Here is a 17495-nt window from a genome sequence, read left to right as displayed (position 1 = left end):
TCCACAGATCATGTCTTTACCCTACCAGGGTCCAGTCCAGGCTGAACTAGAACCATCACATCACCTCTGAACTGAACAGTTGAGGGGTTGGGGCAGATACCCCAGTGGGACTTCATGTCATTTTTCTAAACCAATAGGACTGGGCAGTCCTCGCTGGGATTGCCCTGGACAATACAAATTGGGATTTGTATTGTCACTTGAGGAAAGTCATTGGTGCTTTGAGTGAGGAGTGGAGGGGAAGATGGGGTCAGAGGCCTACTGATAGAGCAATGAACCCTGCTGTGGAAGGATGCAACTTTGATCCCAGGCTTCACTTTGGGATCGTGAGAGGGCTGGGAGGGAGGAAGGCCACCCACGGCCCTGGGCCCTGCATCCCTTTACTTGTTAGAGCCTGTGTCTTCAATGCCAGCCCCGTGGATGCCTACGAGCCTTCTCGGCAGCCGTGCGAGTGCCTTCCGGAGGTAGCCTTCATGGGGCCGCGACTGCTGTCCAGGAGCTCTGCCAAAAGCGTGCTTTCCTCCCACCGTCACAGCAGTGCTGGGACGTAGGTGTAGCATCCGTGTGAGAACACGAGGCCTCGCTGTGCCAGTAAGAGGCCAGGCTGGGATTTGAACCAGATTGTCTATCTTCAGAGCCCCGGCCTCGAAAATTTCACTTCTTATGGGAAATTCCAAATGTGCACGGTAGGAAGAAAAGAGCGCTCCACCTTGAGCTTGTCACCACATCATGTGGTGGCCTCGCCCACGCCGTTCCCCTCCCCCAGATAACCCGCCTAAATCTCACTCATTCTTTTGTTTCATTTGTAAACGTGTGTATCTTTTAAAAGGGCTCTTTGTAAAAACATAACCTCAATACCGGTAGCTCATGTAAAGCAATGTATTTATACCACCTCTCCTGTTAGAGTTCAGATTTCCTCAATTGTCTCAATTCTTTTTTTTTTTTTTTTTTTTTTTTGAGACAGTCTCACTCTGTTGCCCAGGCTGGAGTGCAATGGCAGGATCTCAGCTCATTGAAACGGTTGCCTCTTGGGTTCAAGCGATTCTGTCACCTCAGCTTTCTGAGTAGCTGGGATTACAGGCATGTGCCACCATGCCCGGCTAGTTTTTGTATTTTTAGTAGAGATGGGGTTTCATCATATTGGCCAGGCTGGTCTTGAACTCTTGACCTCAAGTGATCCGCCTGCCTCGGCCTCCCAAAGTTCTAGGATTACAAGTGTGAGTCACCGTGCCTGGCCTGTCTCAATTCTTTTATAATTTTTTTCCCTTGAATCAGGATCCAAATAAGGATCCATACAGTGTGATTGGTTTATGTGTCTCTGACATCTCTTTTAATTAATCTCTCTGGTCCCTGCAATGTCTTTTTTTCCCTTGGGGTTTAAGTTGAAGAAACACAGTTCTTTGTTTGCAGTTTACATCCCTGTACTGGGTTTTGCTGTGCTCCTCGTCCCCAGCATTTTCCATAAATTAGGAGGCAGATCCACAGGCCCGGCCCCATTCTTACCTGCCGCTTAGTTAGGCCCTGGGGATCCAGAATGCATGACAGGGAGCTGGGGTGGAGAGCAGGGGAGAGAGGACCGGAAGCATGCTCTGCGAAGCCTAACTGCCCTGGAAGGGCGAGGTGGCACAGAGCGCCTTGCCTGGGCCTGGCTGGCTGCTTTGTCTCATCAGGGCTGACTGGAAGTGGGATGTGGGCAGGGGCACCAGAAGAGGGAACAGCCAATCAGGGAGCACCTCTGAAGGGAGGCCGCTGGGTGTTTGGGTGGGAGGGAGGAGCCTGAAGGCATCCCATGGCCTGGAGCCTATGGTCAGTCCCACAAGAAGATGAGTGGGAAACATTCAAGAAGTGTTTTAGAAAAAAACGTCCCGAAAATGGTTAAAATGGGAACTGAGGAATGTGCTCAATTACTTGGAAGGTTTGTTCTGGTGGGAAGAAGAATGCCCCATGGGTGCAGAGGAAACGGTGCTCCAGCCCCTGCCGCTGTCATCGTGGGCACATCCTGGCGAGGCCCTTTGAGATGGTGCAGCCGTGCACACCCCCTCTGCATATGGTCTCTGTTTCTGCCAAACCACATCTCGAAAGGCTCAGGATGAAAATGTAGGTGATAGACTCGGGGCCTCAGGTGGAAGGAACCCCTCCTTGAAACCCCCAGGACACCATGCCCGTGAAGAGTTTCACTGATTGTCTGCCCAAGGTTCTGAGCAGCAAAAAGGAATCCCTGGACCCAGCAAGTGCCTGAAATCCCACATAGTCTCAGGTCCCTGAGGATCACCCAATGTGTACTTGGCTTCCCCTTCGAAATGCCTTTCCTTGGTCATAAGTGACCAAAAACTGGGGTAGCGTTGGGGTAGCCGCTTTCCAGAAGTGTATCGTGCCACATCGTATCATATTTGCTGCTGCTGTGGAAAAGTGCATGCATGGCTCATAAAATTACGGTGTTTGGAGTTTTAAAATCTGGCCCATTTCCTCTGAGGAGATGTGTAACACTCGACTGTCACCTGGGGCATATATGCAACATTGTGGAATTTTATAAATCAAAGCAGTGTTAAGATCCCTAGATTGTTGGAGGAAAGTTGATTGAAGACTCCAGGCCAGGCACGGTGGCTCATACCTGTAATCCTAGCACTTTGAGAAGCTGAGGCGGTTGGATCACCTGAGGTCAGGAGTTCGAGACCAGCCTGGCCAACACGGCGAAACCCCGTCTCTACTAAAAATACGAAAAATTAGCCGGGTGTGGTGGCGCACGCCTATAATCCCAGCTACTTGGTAGGCTGAGGCAGGAGAATCGCTTGAACCCCGGAGGCAGAGGTTGCAGTGAGCCAAGATCACACCACTGCACTCCAGCCTGGGCAACAGAGCAAAACTCTGTTTCAACAAAAAGAAAAAAAAAAAAAAGACTCTAAATTGTAGAATGTAAGTTAAGTAAAAATTTTTTTTTTTTTTTTGCTGGAGTGCAGTGGCGTGATCTTGGCTCACTGCAGCTTCCACCTCCCGGGTGCTCTGCCTCACCCTCCCGAGTAGCTGGGATATTACAAGCGCAGGCCACCACGCCCAGCTAATTTTTGTATTTTTAGTAGAGATGGGGTTTCGCCATCTTTGCCAGGCTGGTCTTGAACTCCTAACCTCGTGATCCACCCACCTCAGCCTCCCAAAGTGCTGGGATTAAAGCCGTGAGCCACCCTGCCCAGCCAGTAAAATGTTTTACTTATTCTGATTTAAGTTTTCAAAGATGAGTTTAAACCCTTTTCTAACTTCTTTAAGGAGGCAGCATGTTAGGAAACACTTTGATCTTGACCAAAACAGCTTCCCCATATTGCGGCCATGGGACTGACGGGGCCTTGTTTGGAGGAAGTAAACCTCAGGGGAGGTTTGGGCAGTCAACACTCACATTTGCCCTGGGGCCCCCCTGCCTGTGCTGCCCAAGGCTCCAGCTCTGGCCTGTTGGTAGCCCTGAATCCAGCGGGCAGCAGTCTCTGGCTCTGCAGGGCGCTCACCTGCTGAACTTTCTAAAATTTGGATGTCAACCCTCACCCTGCAGAGGTTCAGATCTGTGGCTCCGGAGCCCAGCGAGGCACCTGCATTTTAAGGAGCTCCAGCAGGGCCATCTGCTGTTGGCAGAGCCCTTCACCACCTCTGCCATCTCCCAGGCTGTTAGCTCCCACCTTCCATTTGCCCCACCTATATCCCCTGTCTTTGCACAATCACTGCAGCCCTGACTGCTGTTCCCAGTGTCCGTGGGTCTCATTCTCCAGATCTGTGATTTCTACGTGAAGTGCAGGATCCAGGCTAAGAGGCAGACACAAGGCCTTGTTCCTCTTCTTGAGGCATTGGAACCCCCAGGCAGGTCTGCCTATTTTATTCCACCCTGCCACAGCTCCCAGAATTGTCTCCCACAAACATGGTTTTGATGACTTATCTCCACTGCCCAAAGAACAAAGCCTCTGCTGTTGCAGCCAGCTCTGGCCTTACCTTCCCTACAGCGGGTCCTCAGTTGACATGGTGCTGGTAGGGTGACTCTTGGCCTTCAGCTCTGCCCCTTACCAGCAGCTCACAGCCTCCCCAACTCCTCTTTCCGCTGCTTCGCCATTGCTCATCTTCTCCAGCTCCTCTAGCACTTGGGGCACAGATGGATGCATGTTCAAGTTTCTGATGCCGCTGGGCGGCCTCGTTGCCAGACATGAATCGGGTCAGGTGGTCTGGACCGCCACCTCCAGGTTTGTGTGTGAATGCCTTTGAGGAAGTTGGCCAAGAGACAAAAGTATCATGTCACTTTAGCAACACGAAATTAAAGTCCTTTTTGAGATTGTTTTGTTCTTTGTTCCCCGACTGCCCGATAAGAAAACTCTGGGCAGTGCTTATCAGTCACCTCCCTGTCAGCAGGGGCTACAGGGAAGTGGTGTGCAAAGAGGTTCCCTGCCCCACCTGGGGACAGTCAGTGCCCTTGTCTGGGAATAAGCCTTGCCTCTGAAAATGCAGGTGGTTAAGCCATTTATCAAAAGGATAATAAGGTAGTTTTTTTTAATTGTTTGATGATATAGAAAATATATGATTTTTTTTTTTTTTTTGAGATGGAGTCTTGCCCTGTCGCCCAGGTTGGAGTGCAACGGCGCGATCTTGGCTCACTGCAACCTCTACCTCCTGAGTTCAAGCGATTCTCCTGCCTCAGCCTCCTAAGTAGCTGGGATTACAGGCGCCTGCCACCGCGCCTGGCTAATTTTTTGTATCTTTAGTAGAGACGGGGTTTCACCATGTTGACCAGGCTGGGTTGGCCAGGCTGGTCTTGAACTCCTGACCCCGTGATCCACCCGCCTCAGCCTCCCAAAGTGCTGGGATTACAGGTGTGACCCACTGCGCCCGGCCTGATGTTTTTAACTTTCATTCTCCCCAACTAAAGTACATTCTTCTTATATGGTAGGGGGCAGTACCCAAAGGAAACGCTACGAAAGAATACATGGAGAGCTTGCAGCTGAAGCCCGGGGAAGTCATCTACAAGTGCCCCAAGTGCTGCTGTATTAAACCCGAGCGCGCCCACCACTGCAGGTACGTGCGCTGCTGTATTAAACCCGAGCGCATCCGCCACTGCGGGTACGTGTGCTGCTGTATTAAACCAGAGTGCGCCCACCACCGTAGGTACATGGCCCCCGAGCATCTGGGCAACGTTGTACGGGCGGGGCCGTAGGTGTCATGTTCTTTCTGGGGTAGGGAGCTGAGTAAAGGGCCGGTGCCCTAGAGTCTTTTTGGGAGCTGGGAAACAGTATGGATTCAGGGATCCCCTCCTTCCCGAGGGACTCGCTGTGGCTCAACAACTGGAGGAGGTGACAAGGTTCCCGCCTCTGTTGTGGCACACATGCCACACAGGCCAGCACGTGTGTGCTCACAGCTCCTGGGCACATCCTGTGTGGGGGCCAGAAGAAAGGCTCAGAACCTTCCCCTCACTCCTGCTCTGGGTTCTTCCAGCCAGCCAGAGAGGCTGTTGTGCGTTCACTTTTGTTCTTACCTGGGGTGGTGGTGCAGCGTAGAAGCAAGGTTCTTTTGGATGTGCTCTCATTTTTTTGTTGTTTTGTTTTTTTGTATTTATTTGGGCGTGCTCTCAAACACCAGTTACTGTATTTTTTAAAAGCCACAGTCCAGTTATCTGCCTGGCTCAAGTAGCCTTCCTGGCCCTCACACCTCACCCCTGCTGGTCTTGGTTGCATTTTATCCTCTTCCCCCACATTTGCCAGTTCCTGACTCCTTTTTCTGCTCCTGGAGGGGCTGGCTGTTGATTTCACGTGTTGAAGTGTGAATGTCTGGGTGTATTTCTCCATTCCTTGAAATAGTTGTCACACGTCCCTGTACTGTGTGACAGGCTGCACCTGGACAGTGCCCTTCTCCTGGGGGGTCGTGGCCTGCTTGAATAGGCTGGAAGCCATTGATGGCCTCCAACGGGAGGAAACCCAGATACAGGGTGCTGACTGCTTTATGGCTGGAGTGAAAGCTTTAAGAGATTCATATCCTCATGGTTTGGCCAGAAAGTAAAGAAAGATGAAATGGTATCGGAGAGTAAATGGGTGGCTGTTTTGGGCTGGGGTTAGAAATAGGCAGTGACTGCATATGGGGTGAGGTTTCTTTCTGGGATGGTGGGAATGTTCAAAAATTAGATGGTGATGGTCTCACAACTCTGCAGATAGAATAAAAATCATTGAATTGTACATTGCAAATGGGTGAACTTTTATGGTATATAAATTTTTTGGGGATGGGGGGATGGAGTCTTGCTCTGTCGCCCAGGCTGGAGTGCAGTGGCATAATCTCGGCTCACTGCAACCTCTGCCTCTCAGGCTCAAGCGATTCTTGTGCCTCAGCCTCCCTAGTAGCTGGGATTACAGGCGCCCGCCACCATGCCTGGCTGATCTTTGTATTTTTAGTAGAGACGGGGTTTTGCCACATTGGCCAGGCTGGTCTCGAACTCCTGACTTCAGGTGATCCACCTGCCTCGGCCTGCCAAAGTGCTGGGATTACAGGCATGAGCCACCTCGCCTGACCTATGGTATATAAATTATACTTCAATAAATCTGTTGAAGATAAAATGGGAATGTTTTGGAAGTCAGGTGCTGTGGAGGTCGGGCAGGGAGCCAAGGTCAATGAATAAGAAGAAGGTGACGCTATGGGCGGGTGCGGTGGCTCACGCCTGTAATCCCAGCACTTTGGGAGGCCGGGGTGGGCGGATCACGAGGTCAGGAGATCGAGACCATCCTAGCTAACACGATGAAACCCCCATCTCTACTAAAAATAGAAAAAAAAAATTAGCCGGGCATGGTGACTGGTGCCTGTAGTCCCAGCTACTCGGGAGGCTGAGGCAGGAGAATGGCGTGAACCCGGGAGGCAGAGCTTGCAGGGAGCTGAGATTGAGATTGCGCCACTGCACTCCAGCCTGGGCGACAGAGCAAGACTCCATCTCAAAAAAAAAAAAAAAAAAAAAAAGGTGACGCTATGATAGCAAGTCTGCCTGCAGCGAACCTGCTGCCATCGATGTCTGCTTGATGTAATTAAATGGTGCAAGCTTGGACTAAAAAGTAATCGATAATCAAATTAGTTATTTAAAATTGGACATACAGAGTGTTTTGGGCAAAAGTAAAATACAGCTGTTAAAAACAAGACGACTTCATGCCTGGGTGTGTAGTTGATGATTCAAGATGAATATGCAATCCATACTGCATATTCATCAGTGAATATGGATTCAGTGGTAGGAATTATTTGAAGATACAAAGAATGTTTCTCCTTGAGGGTAAAATTTCAGTTTTTGTTTTTTATTGAAATAGACTTGTAAGCTTGCAAAATTAGGAACATTACTGATAGGTGTACATGATCCAGCTCTACTGGGGGAGTGTCTGAGAACTCGTGAAGTATGGCTTAGTTTGACCTTTCGCCCCAAGCTGTTGGTCCATTGAGTATTTTCCTTAGGAAACGGAAGACATTTAATTAAAATGATAAACCTTAAAGGAATATAGTGAGAATGTATGATATTTTTTGACATGTTGTATTAGAATATACATTCTAATTTTCCTCCACCTTTGATTTTATTTGGTTGTGTTACTCTGGTTTCCTCAGAGCATGGAATACTGAAAAATCAAACTCTCCTTTTCAGTATTTGCAAAAGATGTATTCGGAAAATGGATCATCACTGCCCGTGGGTGAACAATTGTGTAGGAGAAAAGAATCAAAGATTTTTTGTGCTCTTCACTGTAAGTAAAAATATTTTTGTATTGAATTTACATTGAATTTGAAATTCTTTAACTGCTTCTTGCCTGGAGCAGAGAAATCTACTAACGTCAGGCCAGTTTCTCTCCAGCCTTTTCTCCAGGATTCAAATTATAATACTGTGCTGTCATTGGCAGGAAGTAGTCCCAATAAGTAATATGTTGCTTGTATTATTTTAGGTGTTCACTGTAATTTAATTCTCTCCCAGATGTCCTCAATCGCTATTGTTTATTAATAATAACAGGAATCTTCCTAAAGTATGTTAGAGTTTATTTCCTTTTTCTTTTCTTTTTTTCTTTTTTTTTTTTTTGAGATGGAGTTTTGCTCTTGTTGCCCAGGCTGGAGTGCAGTGGTGTGATCTCAGCTCACTGCAACCTCCGCCTCCCAAGTTCAAGTGATTCTCTTGCTTCAGCCTCCCAAGTAGCTGAGATTACAGGCATGTACCACCACGCCTGGCTAATTTTGTATTTTTCGTAGAGATGGGGTTTCTCCATATTGGTTGGGCTGGTCTTGAACTCCCGACCTCAGGCGATCCGCCCACCTCGGCCTCCCAAAGTGCTAGGATTACAGTCGTGAGCCACCGTGCCCGGCCGTTTATTTTTTTATAGACGGGGTTTTGCTGTGTTGCCCAGGCTGGTCTTAAACTCCTGAGCTCAAGCCATCTGCCCGTCTTGGCCTCCCAAAGTGCTGGGATTACAGGCGTGAGCCACCATGCCCAGCTATATTTTTCTATAAAATTATTCTACTTGGTCTAATATGATCTTGGGTAGGAAAATGTCAACTGCTGCCATTTAATCCTTCCCTCATTTTTTTCTCTGACAAGATGGAGGTATACACATGATGTGTCATCAGCCTTTGCTCTTAGAAAGACTTGTTTAAGTTACTAACTGGCTGGGTGGATCACTAGAGGTCAGCAGTTACAGACCAGCCTGGCCAACATGGTGAAACCCCATCTCTACTAAAAATGCAAAACAGTTAGCCGGGCATGGTGCTTGTAGTCTCAGCTACTTGAGAGGCTGAGGCAGGAGAATCGCTTGAGTCTGGCAGGCGGAGGTTGCAGTGAGCTGAGACTACGCCGCTGCATTCCAGCCTGGACAACAGAGGGAGACTCTGTTTCTAAAAAAAATAAAAAATAAAAGTGACTAACCAATCTCCCCCTCATTCTAGATGTATATAGCTCTGTCTTCAGTCCATGCTCTGATCCTTTGTGGATTTCAGTTCATCTCCTGTGTCCGAGGGCAGTGGACTGGTAAGTTCCCTGGCTATGTGTCATTCCTGGCTTTGCATGCTGTTATTGGATGAAAGGGGAAAGCTTTAAAGGAAGAACCAGTTTTCCAATTTTGAAGGAAATCATTGCAATTATTTTAGCAATTGAATTTTAAAGAATTTAGTTAAGTTTTAACACCACCATTTTACTAGTATATTGTTGCCCCAAAAGCTTGTGTCTGTCTGCTGGTCAGCTAGCTCGCCATTGTTCAAAGCAGGCTTCACGTTGCTTACGTGAGTGACCGACCCTAAGCAAGTGTAGTGAAAATAGGTGCTCGTTATCCTACCTTAGATATGCAGTGAGGTCTGGACAGGCTCATCCCACCCCAGGGGAACATGGTGAACAGACTCCTGTGAGCACTGCTCACTGGTATGGGTGCACACAACTCTTCTGGTCTGGCTTCATTTGCCATTTAATTCATAAATACAGTGTCAATAGAAACCTCAGAAAATACAGACTCTTTTGAAACCACTGGCCAGGAAGTCATGGTATGAATTTTTGCTTGGAAGGGTGGCCCTCCTCTGCTCCTTGGAGAACAATGAATGTGCCCATTTAGAAAGTGAACAACTTCCCCCTGGAAGCTGGCCAGGGGCTGGCCCTAGAGGATTCTTCTCTGAGCCAAACATTCTGCCACTCGGGGTATTCAGGACCAGTTATAACCAACTTCCTCTTGTCCGCAGAATGCAGTGATTTTTCACCTCCGATAACTGTAATCCTGTTGATCTTCCTGTGCCTTGAGGGTCTTCTGTTTTTCACTTTCACTGCAGTTATGTTTGGCACCCAAATCCACTCCATATGCAACGACGAGACGGTAAGCTTTGTTCTCGGCTGTGTGGACTTCATATGTGGTCCAAGCTTGAGTAAATGAAAAGTCCTAATGTCAACAATAGGTGCCTGTGGACTGACTCGGGAACGTAATGGGACGGTCTTGATGAGCTGCAACCAGCTCCCTGTGTTTGCTGTTTCTTTCATTCTGGGCAGTGCATATTTCTAGTCTCAGTTTGATTTGCAAGTCAGCAGAGCCAGGCAGATTCCCAGCTCCCAGTGCAGTCAGTAAATTTCAGGGAACTGACTGCCTTTAGGGCCTGGCTCTGCAGGCCTGGAGTGGCGCTCAGTAAATGTCTGTACACAGTAACTAACGAGCGACAAATGTTGGTGCCTGGCTGGGAGGGCCATTGTGGTAGTCTGGGCTGGCCACGTGGCTGCAGCCGGGCTGGGCTCACAGAGGCCACGGGGTCTGGATCGGGGCAGAGCTGGGAAGGAGAGTTCACTCACCTACCCTCCATCGAGCCCACACTGTGCTTGAGCACGGTGTGATTCTGAGGCTTGGTGGGGTCTGCCGAGCTTCCTGGAGCCGCTGCCACTTGCTTTTCTTTCTGCTTCCAGGAGATCGAGCGATTGAAAAGTGAGAAGCCCACATGGGAGCGGAGGCTGCGATGGGAAGGGATGAAGTCCGTCTTTGGGGGGCCCCCCTCACTCCTCTGGATGAATCCCTTTGTGGGCTTCCGATTTAGGCGACTGCCCACGAGACCCAGAAAAGGTGGCCCGGAGTTCTCAGTGTGAGGCGTGGCTCATCAGACTGAAACTTGCTCACAGACTTCCAGTTATTTATTTGGGGTCTGAAGGATATCAACAGCTCATCTGTGACCAACAGGGCAACTGGAACCTACACAAACCAATTGCTTGCAGCAAGCAGAGTTTTATATATTTATAGTCACAGATGGCAGAGGAAGAGGCTCTCAGTCCCCACCTGTACAACAACGGAAAGGTGTGTGGCCACACGAAGAAGCCAAACGCCGTGGCCTCCTGCAGAGCTGGGGCTTCTGTGGAGAATACTTCGGGTTATTACATGGGTTATTCAAATCCTGGGTCCTGAGCTGCTGTTTCCAATCATGAAGAAAAACAGTGAATCCAGTGAACAGGGATTCTCCAAGCAGTCATTTCAGGGGGCTCCTGCTGACCCCGCCACTCAGCAGTGCACTCCCCGGATCACAGCAGGGCGTTTACATAGAAAGACGTTTTGGTCTCGATTAGCTCCGATGCTTTGCACTGAAGTTGCAAAAGATCTGTGCACTGAACAGTGAAGGTGGCTTCCGGCACACTCCCCGCTGCCCCGGAAGAGACATCCTTTGACCCTCTCAGCAAGTCTGTGTGTGTGCGTGTCTGTGCGTGTGCGCGCGTGTGTGCATGTGTGTCAAAATTGCCAGTGTTGTTTAGGCAATGTAACATTTACCGGCTGTGTACAGCAAACAAGCTATTTTTTAGAAACCGACGTTTCAGGGAAGAGGGGAGAGAGCCGCGGGGTCCTGCCCGTGGTTACTATGAATGTATTGCTGTTGGAGGACATCTCGATCCAAAGAACAGCCGTTCCTGTGCGGCCCTTCGTTGCCCTCCTGCTTTCATTTTTTAAAGAAATCTTGAGTGCTTGAGGGCCTTGGAACTGATTTTTTTTTTTTGTTCCAGCCAAATTAGCAGTGTATAAATGGCACCTAGGTAAGAGCAGAGCTGCGGCTCGGTGACTTGATACTTGGGGCAGCCCGATGCTGTGTGTGGGGCAGGGGAGGCATCCTTACTGGAGAGGCAGGGCCCAGCCATTGGGCACCTCTGGGAAGGGGAGGGGACCATGAGGCAGCCAGCCCCTGGCAGGGGCGACTGTGCCACCGCAGGCAGCGCTCCAGTCGGGAATGGCCAGGATGGCGCCCTCTTGTTGGAGTTTTTGGTTAGCTTTTACGTTTTCTTCTCCACCCACGGCACAGGTGATAAAATAGGATCCTTGGTGCGGAGCTTAAAATTATGCCAGAAAGCCAACAGCTCCCCTCGTGGGGCCTTGCCTTAAACTTGCCTGGTTTGTACATTTTTTGCCGGACGCATCAAGAAGCAATCTGTGACAAAGTCTGAGGGTCTTCCTTTATGCTTGCCCTCCACACTAAGAGAAGTTGGCGTCTCCCTCCTGGGAATTGTTTTGCCTTTCTGTTCATCTGTGAACTGTTTTTTGTTTTTAATTACTCTGTACCCCATCCGAATCAGGGCTTCTACCACTGCTGATGCAAAACCACAAAGGGACCTACCTGAGCCACCGTCCTAGCCAAGCGAGCAAACCTGCAGGGGGTTTGGAAGTGGACTTGGTCACCGCAGAAGCGTGTGCGCCGTTGGGGGAAGAGCTGCGTCACAGCCAGAGGGACAAAGTGTGGGTGATCCTGGAGACGCCAGTTTCCGAGATTGTTCTGCATATTCATTTGCACATTGTTGTCTGGGTTGGACATGCGTGTGGGCTTCAGTGTGAGGCTTTTAATATGTATATCCTGTTATCAATAAAACAATTATCCAAGTGGTTGAATCCTGTGAGACTTGGCAAGTGTGTGCAAATCAAGTATACTTGACTTTTCAACCTCTTCTTTCAATGTAACTTTTATATGAAATAAAGTAATCAATTAACAGTTCTCAAATGGCTTCCAAAGCGCCCGTTCTTCCTGGATGGTGGTGTTTTCAGGGGGTGCCTTTCCGTGCTTCGTGGGCCCAGCCCCAGGCTGTTAAGGTCACTCCCAAACAGTTTCCAGAAACTCTAAATGCTTTTGTGCCCATGACAAGTGACCTGGGCACTCAAGCGCGACTCACAAATGTTGCCCAGTGAGTACTGTTGCTTGTTGAATGTTTAATTCGACTCCCATCGTTTTACTTAGTCCTTTTTTTAGTGCACGTTGAAATAAAAACAATGTTTCAAAATCTCCACAGTTCAGAATCTCAAGTACCTACAATTTGATTTTAATTCATTCAACAAATTTGTCTAACATTTGCACTGAGGGAACCAAAATGCCCACTTACCTTCCAGAGGCCAGATGGTCAGTGTGTGCCGCAGCCCTGCCTCGCTTACCTTTCAGAGGCCAGATGGTCAGTGTGTGCCGCAGCCCTGCCTCGCACGTGCTGTGCCTTGGGGCTCCTGGTGGCATTCCAGACACGCGGAAATGAGAAGGAGACTCGAACACGGAGGCGCACACCTGAGCCGGGCGGCTGCATGGGCAGCAGCCCTCCAGCTTGTGTTTGTGGCTCTGCCGAATTTTGCTGCAATATTATTTGTATTCCTTATATTAGATTGTTATGTAGGCTCATTGTATAGAAGGATGACGCTTGCATTAAAACAAAACAAAAATATCCTCCAAATAGGAAGGTGGCTAAATCCTATCTTCTATTGTACATGAACTTGGCTTGGGTATGGAAGCAGGGGAAAATAGCTTGAAGGGTAGCCTGGGAGCCGCACACAAAAAGCAGGGTGCCCATAAAAAAAAGCACAAGCGCCCTACAGCATCTCCTGAGGAGCCTGTTTAAAACCGCAATGCCCCTCATCCAGCTGCTAATTTTAGCCAAGACAACCTGAAGACGCCAAGGGAAAATTGGTTTTCCGTGTGGCTGGTTCTGGGCGCTGAAAGCTGAGCCAATCTCTGAGCTCTAAGAGAGCGAGTAGCTCAGCGGTCAGGCCCGACAGGCCCATGCAGGCGGCTTCCCAAAAGGGCCAGCAAGTTTCCGAAGAAAGTTCTAGGCACAGCACATCTGCAGTCCAGAGAACTCCGGGTTTCCTGCCTGCTCTCCCCTCCCCATTCACCGAATATATGTGCGTCCCACGTTTCGTACATGATCAAGTTTAGTTGTGATGACTGAATACTTTGCTGCTAAACCAGATAGGGGCCTCTGATTTTTTGGTCCAACTTTTTGCTTTTACAGAGGTGAAGCTGCCTCGTGTGCCTGTTCCAGCTGTCGCTGAGTGCCTGCACCCCAGCCAGCCTCTGCCACGGGCAGCATCTGCACCATCTCCCCCATTCCCTGCTGAGAGGGCCTGGCTTCTGCAGGGTTGGTGGGTTCAATCTTCTGGGTCCCAGGGTCTACACCTTCCAGATCCTTCCAGTGGTATAACCGCTCCCTGAGAGTTGCTGGAGAAGGGGTGCCTTATTCTTCAAGTTTCCGGTATTTTGGCTCACCTAAAAATACCTTATTCTGCCTCACCTTTGGTTGATGGCGTAGCTAAGTACTTTTCACTCAGCCTGTTGGAGACACCACCCCACCATCTTCTGGCTCCCAGAGCAGCCATGGAGAGCCCACACTCTCCTGGCCCCTGTGCTGTGTGACCTAGCTTTTTTTTTTTTTTTCTTTTTTGAGATAGGTTCTTGCTCTGTCACCCAGGCTGGATCTCAGCCCAGACTGGAGTACAGCAGCGTGATCTCAGCTCACTGCAACCTCCACCTCCTGGACTCAAGCAATTCTTGTTCCTCAGCCTCCTGAGTCACTGGGACTACAGGCCCTTGTCACCACGTCCAGATAACTTTTTTGTATTTTTGGAAGAGACAGGGTTTCGCTATGTTGCCCAGGCTGGTCTCGAACTCCTGACCTCAAGTGATCCGCCCACCTCGGCCTCCCAAAGTGCTGGGATTATAGGCGTGTGCCACTGCACCTGGCCCACGGCCTCTCTTTAGTTCCTCGGTTTCTCAGGGTTGTCGACAAGGTGCCTTGGCCTCAGTTCTCCCGCTGGCTGTGCTGATGCTCAGTAGACTCCACCTGACACTCAGCTTTCTGGTTCTGGCAGACATTCTGTGTTATGTCTTTGGGAATCCCATTCACTCCATTTTTTTCTTAATTTTAAGATTGCATGTTGAACCACCTAGACTGATCCTCTGATTTTCTTATTACACACTCTGTTTTCTGGAAATCTTTAGCTTTGCTTTTTTTTTTTTTTTTTTTAGATGGAGTCTCGCTCTGTCCCTCAGGCTGGAGTGCAGTGGCACGATCTCCGCTCACTGCAACCTCTGGCCTTGCAGGTTCAAGTGATTCTCCTGCCTCAGCCTCCTGAGTAGCTGGGATTACAGGCGTGTGCCACCACGCCGAGCTAATTTTTGTATTTTTAGTAGAGACGGGGTTTCACCATGTTGGCCAGGCTGGTCTTGAAGTCCTGACCTCAAGTGATCCGCCCACCTCGGCTTCCCAGAGTGGTGGGATGACAGGTGTGAGCCACCACGCCACGCTTTGTCTTCTAGCTCTTCTGGATGTTTTTTAAAATTCAGGCTATGGTAGATTTAATTTCCAGAAGCTTTTTATTTTCCTTTGTGTTTTTGAGGAAACATCAGCCAGAGTGTCTTCTGCGGATGCCCTGCTGTTCCCTGTCTCTAAGGATACTGGGGTTTCGTTCTGCATTTCCCCTGGCTTCCTGGGTGGTGTACTCCCAGGCTCCCCACTCCGCATTCTCTCCTCTGCGTGCTCTCTGGCTTTCCTATTAGAAGCCCTCCTCCATGTTCTGCGTGAGACACCAGCCCACTGCCTGGCAGGGCTGTGTAGGGAGCCAGCTTTTCCATGAGGCGGCCCCCATCTCCTGACTGGAAGACTGGCTGCTGGGACTCGGTAGAGAAGGGCCCAGAAGCTTCGCTGGGCAGTAAATAGACCAGCTCCTCTCTCCTTTTCTGCCCCGAGTAGTGCCTGCTGTCCTTGACCCCGTGATCTTCCAGGAATAGCTGCCCCTCTCCTTTGGGGTCTGGGGGGTGGTACCTAGGAGTCTGACCTCCTCCTACAGAAAATTCTTTCCCCATCCTTCGTATCTGGGAACCAGCTGTCAAGCTCTGGTGTTCCTTGGTGCTCCCCCCACATCCCTGGGAGGCAGTGTGGCCAAGGTGGTCATTTCACAGGTGGGGAAATGGAGGCCAAGAAGCTTTCTGACATGCCCAGCTGGGTGAGTAACAGGGCTGACCTCTCACGGTGTCATCAGCCCATGCTCAGGAGAAAATTTCCCCCAAATACGACAGCGCTTCTTTATGGAAAACCTGCCTGTCCTGTGCTGATTTAACACGCACCGTTTCCCTTAACTCTTGCAATCATCACCATCTCATAGATGGGGAAAAACTGAGGCTGAGAGAGGTTGCTCGGGGCCCATAGGCAGCAAACAAGGATCGTATTATGTTTAACATGATCAGCACTAGCTCTTTAATCATGGTGCCATTACTAATGATGTGAGAAACTCTAACAGGGACTTTCCTCCAACTCACCTGATCATCCAGAAGCACAGAACTCCATGGGGGCCAAAAGCTGCCACTTTGTGGATCTGCCCACGTCACCGATGGTGGCCACATGGGAAGTGGGTGCCAGGTGAGGGACTTATCCTGCAGGGAGAAAACGGGTTGGCCCCTCAGCGTGTGCTGCATGACGGCCACCAGGGGGCGCCACGAGACAGCAAATACCCACACACTGCTCAGGCCGCGGGAAGTTCACCCATCGCTGGCCCATCTGCTCAGTAGGTCCACAGATATTTACAGAGCACCTACCGTGTGCCAGCAAGGCGTCTGCCCTCAGTAGACTCTAATTAGCTGGGTGCAGTGGCTCACACCTGTGCTCCCAGCACTTTGGGAATCCAAGGCAGGTGGATTACTTGAGGTCAGGAGTTTGAGACCAGCCTGGCCAACATGGCAAAACCCCGTCTCTACTAAAAACAAAAAAATGAGAGGGACATGGTGACTCACGTTTTTAATTCCAGATACTCGGGAGGCTGAGGCAGGGGAATCACTTGAACCCGGGAGGCGGAGGTTGCAGTGAGACAAGATCGTGCCACCGCTCTCCAGCCTGGGTGAACAGAGTGAGACTCAAGAAAAAAAGACACTAATACAAGAAATTAAATATGCAATTTGTAGACTGTGATTTCTGCTATCAGCATTGAGAAAAGGAGATATCCCCTATCAGGGTGGATATTGTGGAGGATGAGTTGTCAGGAAAGGGCCCTGGAGGGAGGTGAGGGGTTGCAGCTGCGGTTACCAGATGTGCAAAGGCCCTGGGGCAGGAAAGGGCTGGGTTTTTTGCAGTTTCCCTCCCTCAACATGTCCCTTCTGCACAGTGGCTCATGCCTGTAATCCCAGCACTTTGGGAGGCTGAGGCGGACGGATCACCTGAGGTAAGGAGTTCGAGACTAGCCTGACCAACATGGGGAAACCCCGTTCCTACTAAAAATGCAAAAATGAGGCAGGCATGGTAGTGCACGCCTGTAATCCCAGCTACTCTGGAGGCTGAGGCAGGAGAATTGCTTGAACCCAGGACGCAAAGGTTGCAGTGAGCTATCACCCCACTGCACTCCAGCCTGGGCGACAGAGTGAGACTCTGTCTCAAAACAAAACAAAACATGTCCCTTCCTTTCCCACCCTCAGCCTGTAACTTCCCCACTACAGCATCACATCTAACTGGGGGAAGGCTCATACTGAAGCTGTTCTCAGTCCCCCAAACCTTAATATGAATGAACTTGTTTTATTTAGGACAGTGGTTTTCAAAGTGCATTCCCCTCCCCGGACCGGGAACACCGGCATCACTAGGAACTTGTTAGAAATGGAAATTCTCAGCCCCACCCCAGACCTCCCCAGTCAGAAACTCTGATGTCCACCCAGTGATCTGTATTTTAGCAACATGCTCCAAGTTGAAAATCACAGCTTTCGCACCCAGCATTGGAAAGAGTAGGGGATTCCCTGGGTGGAGGGGAACA

The 17495-nt window shown here is 49.8% G+C and overlaps 1 protein-coding gene across 13 annotated transcripts in view, besides 1 other annotated feature; it reads left to right on the top strand.

Moving 5' to 3' along the window:
- Positions 1 to 12732, top strand: part of ZDHHC7 (zDHHC palmitoyltransferase 7) — a 53457-nt gene extending 40725 nt beyond the window's left edge. For 11 of the 13 annotated variants that reach the window (XM_047434355.1, XM_047434352.1, NM_017740.3 and 8 more), the window contains 5 exons: positions 4913 to 5037; positions 7622 to 7718; positions 8902 to 8983; positions 9682 to 9812; positions 10388 to 12732. In XM_047434355.1, coding sequence (XP_047290311.1) covers positions 4913 to 5037; positions 7622 to 7718; positions 8902 to 8983; positions 9682 to 9812; positions 10388 to 10564 — 612 coding nt within the window. In that variant the 3' untranslated portion in view covers positions 10565 to 12732. Of the gene's footprint in view, positions 1 to 4912; positions 5038 to 7621; positions 7719 to 8901; positions 8984 to 9681; positions 9813 to 10387 lie in introns of those variants that run through there. The other 2 variants (XM_047434357.1, XM_011523222.3) reach the window with 1 other exon arrangement.
- Positions 9377 to 10576: an enhancer, noted in NCBI's record as "CDK7 strongly-dependent group 2 enhancer chr16:85009937-85011136 (GRCh37/hg19 assembly coordinates)". NCBI's record gives its function as "activates an origin of replication core promoter dependent on BRD2, BRD4, P300/CBP, MED14 and CDK7 cofactors, with strong dependence on CDK7, by STARR-seq in HCT116 cells {active_cell/tissue: HCT116}" and the evidence as "EXISTENCE:reporter gene assay evidence [ECO:0000049][PMID:35650434]".
- Positions 12733 to 17495: the final 4763 nt, after the last annotated feature.

Source organism: Homo sapiens, chromosome 16, assembly GCF_000001405.40.
Source record: "Homo sapiens chromosome 16, GRCh38.p14 Primary Assembly".
NCBI lineage: Eukaryota > Metazoa > Chordata > Mammalia > Primates > Hominidae > Homo > Homo sapiens.
The sequence above is the reverse complement of the archived record's forward strand: the minus strand, read 5'-3'. Positions and strand labels throughout refer to the sequence as shown.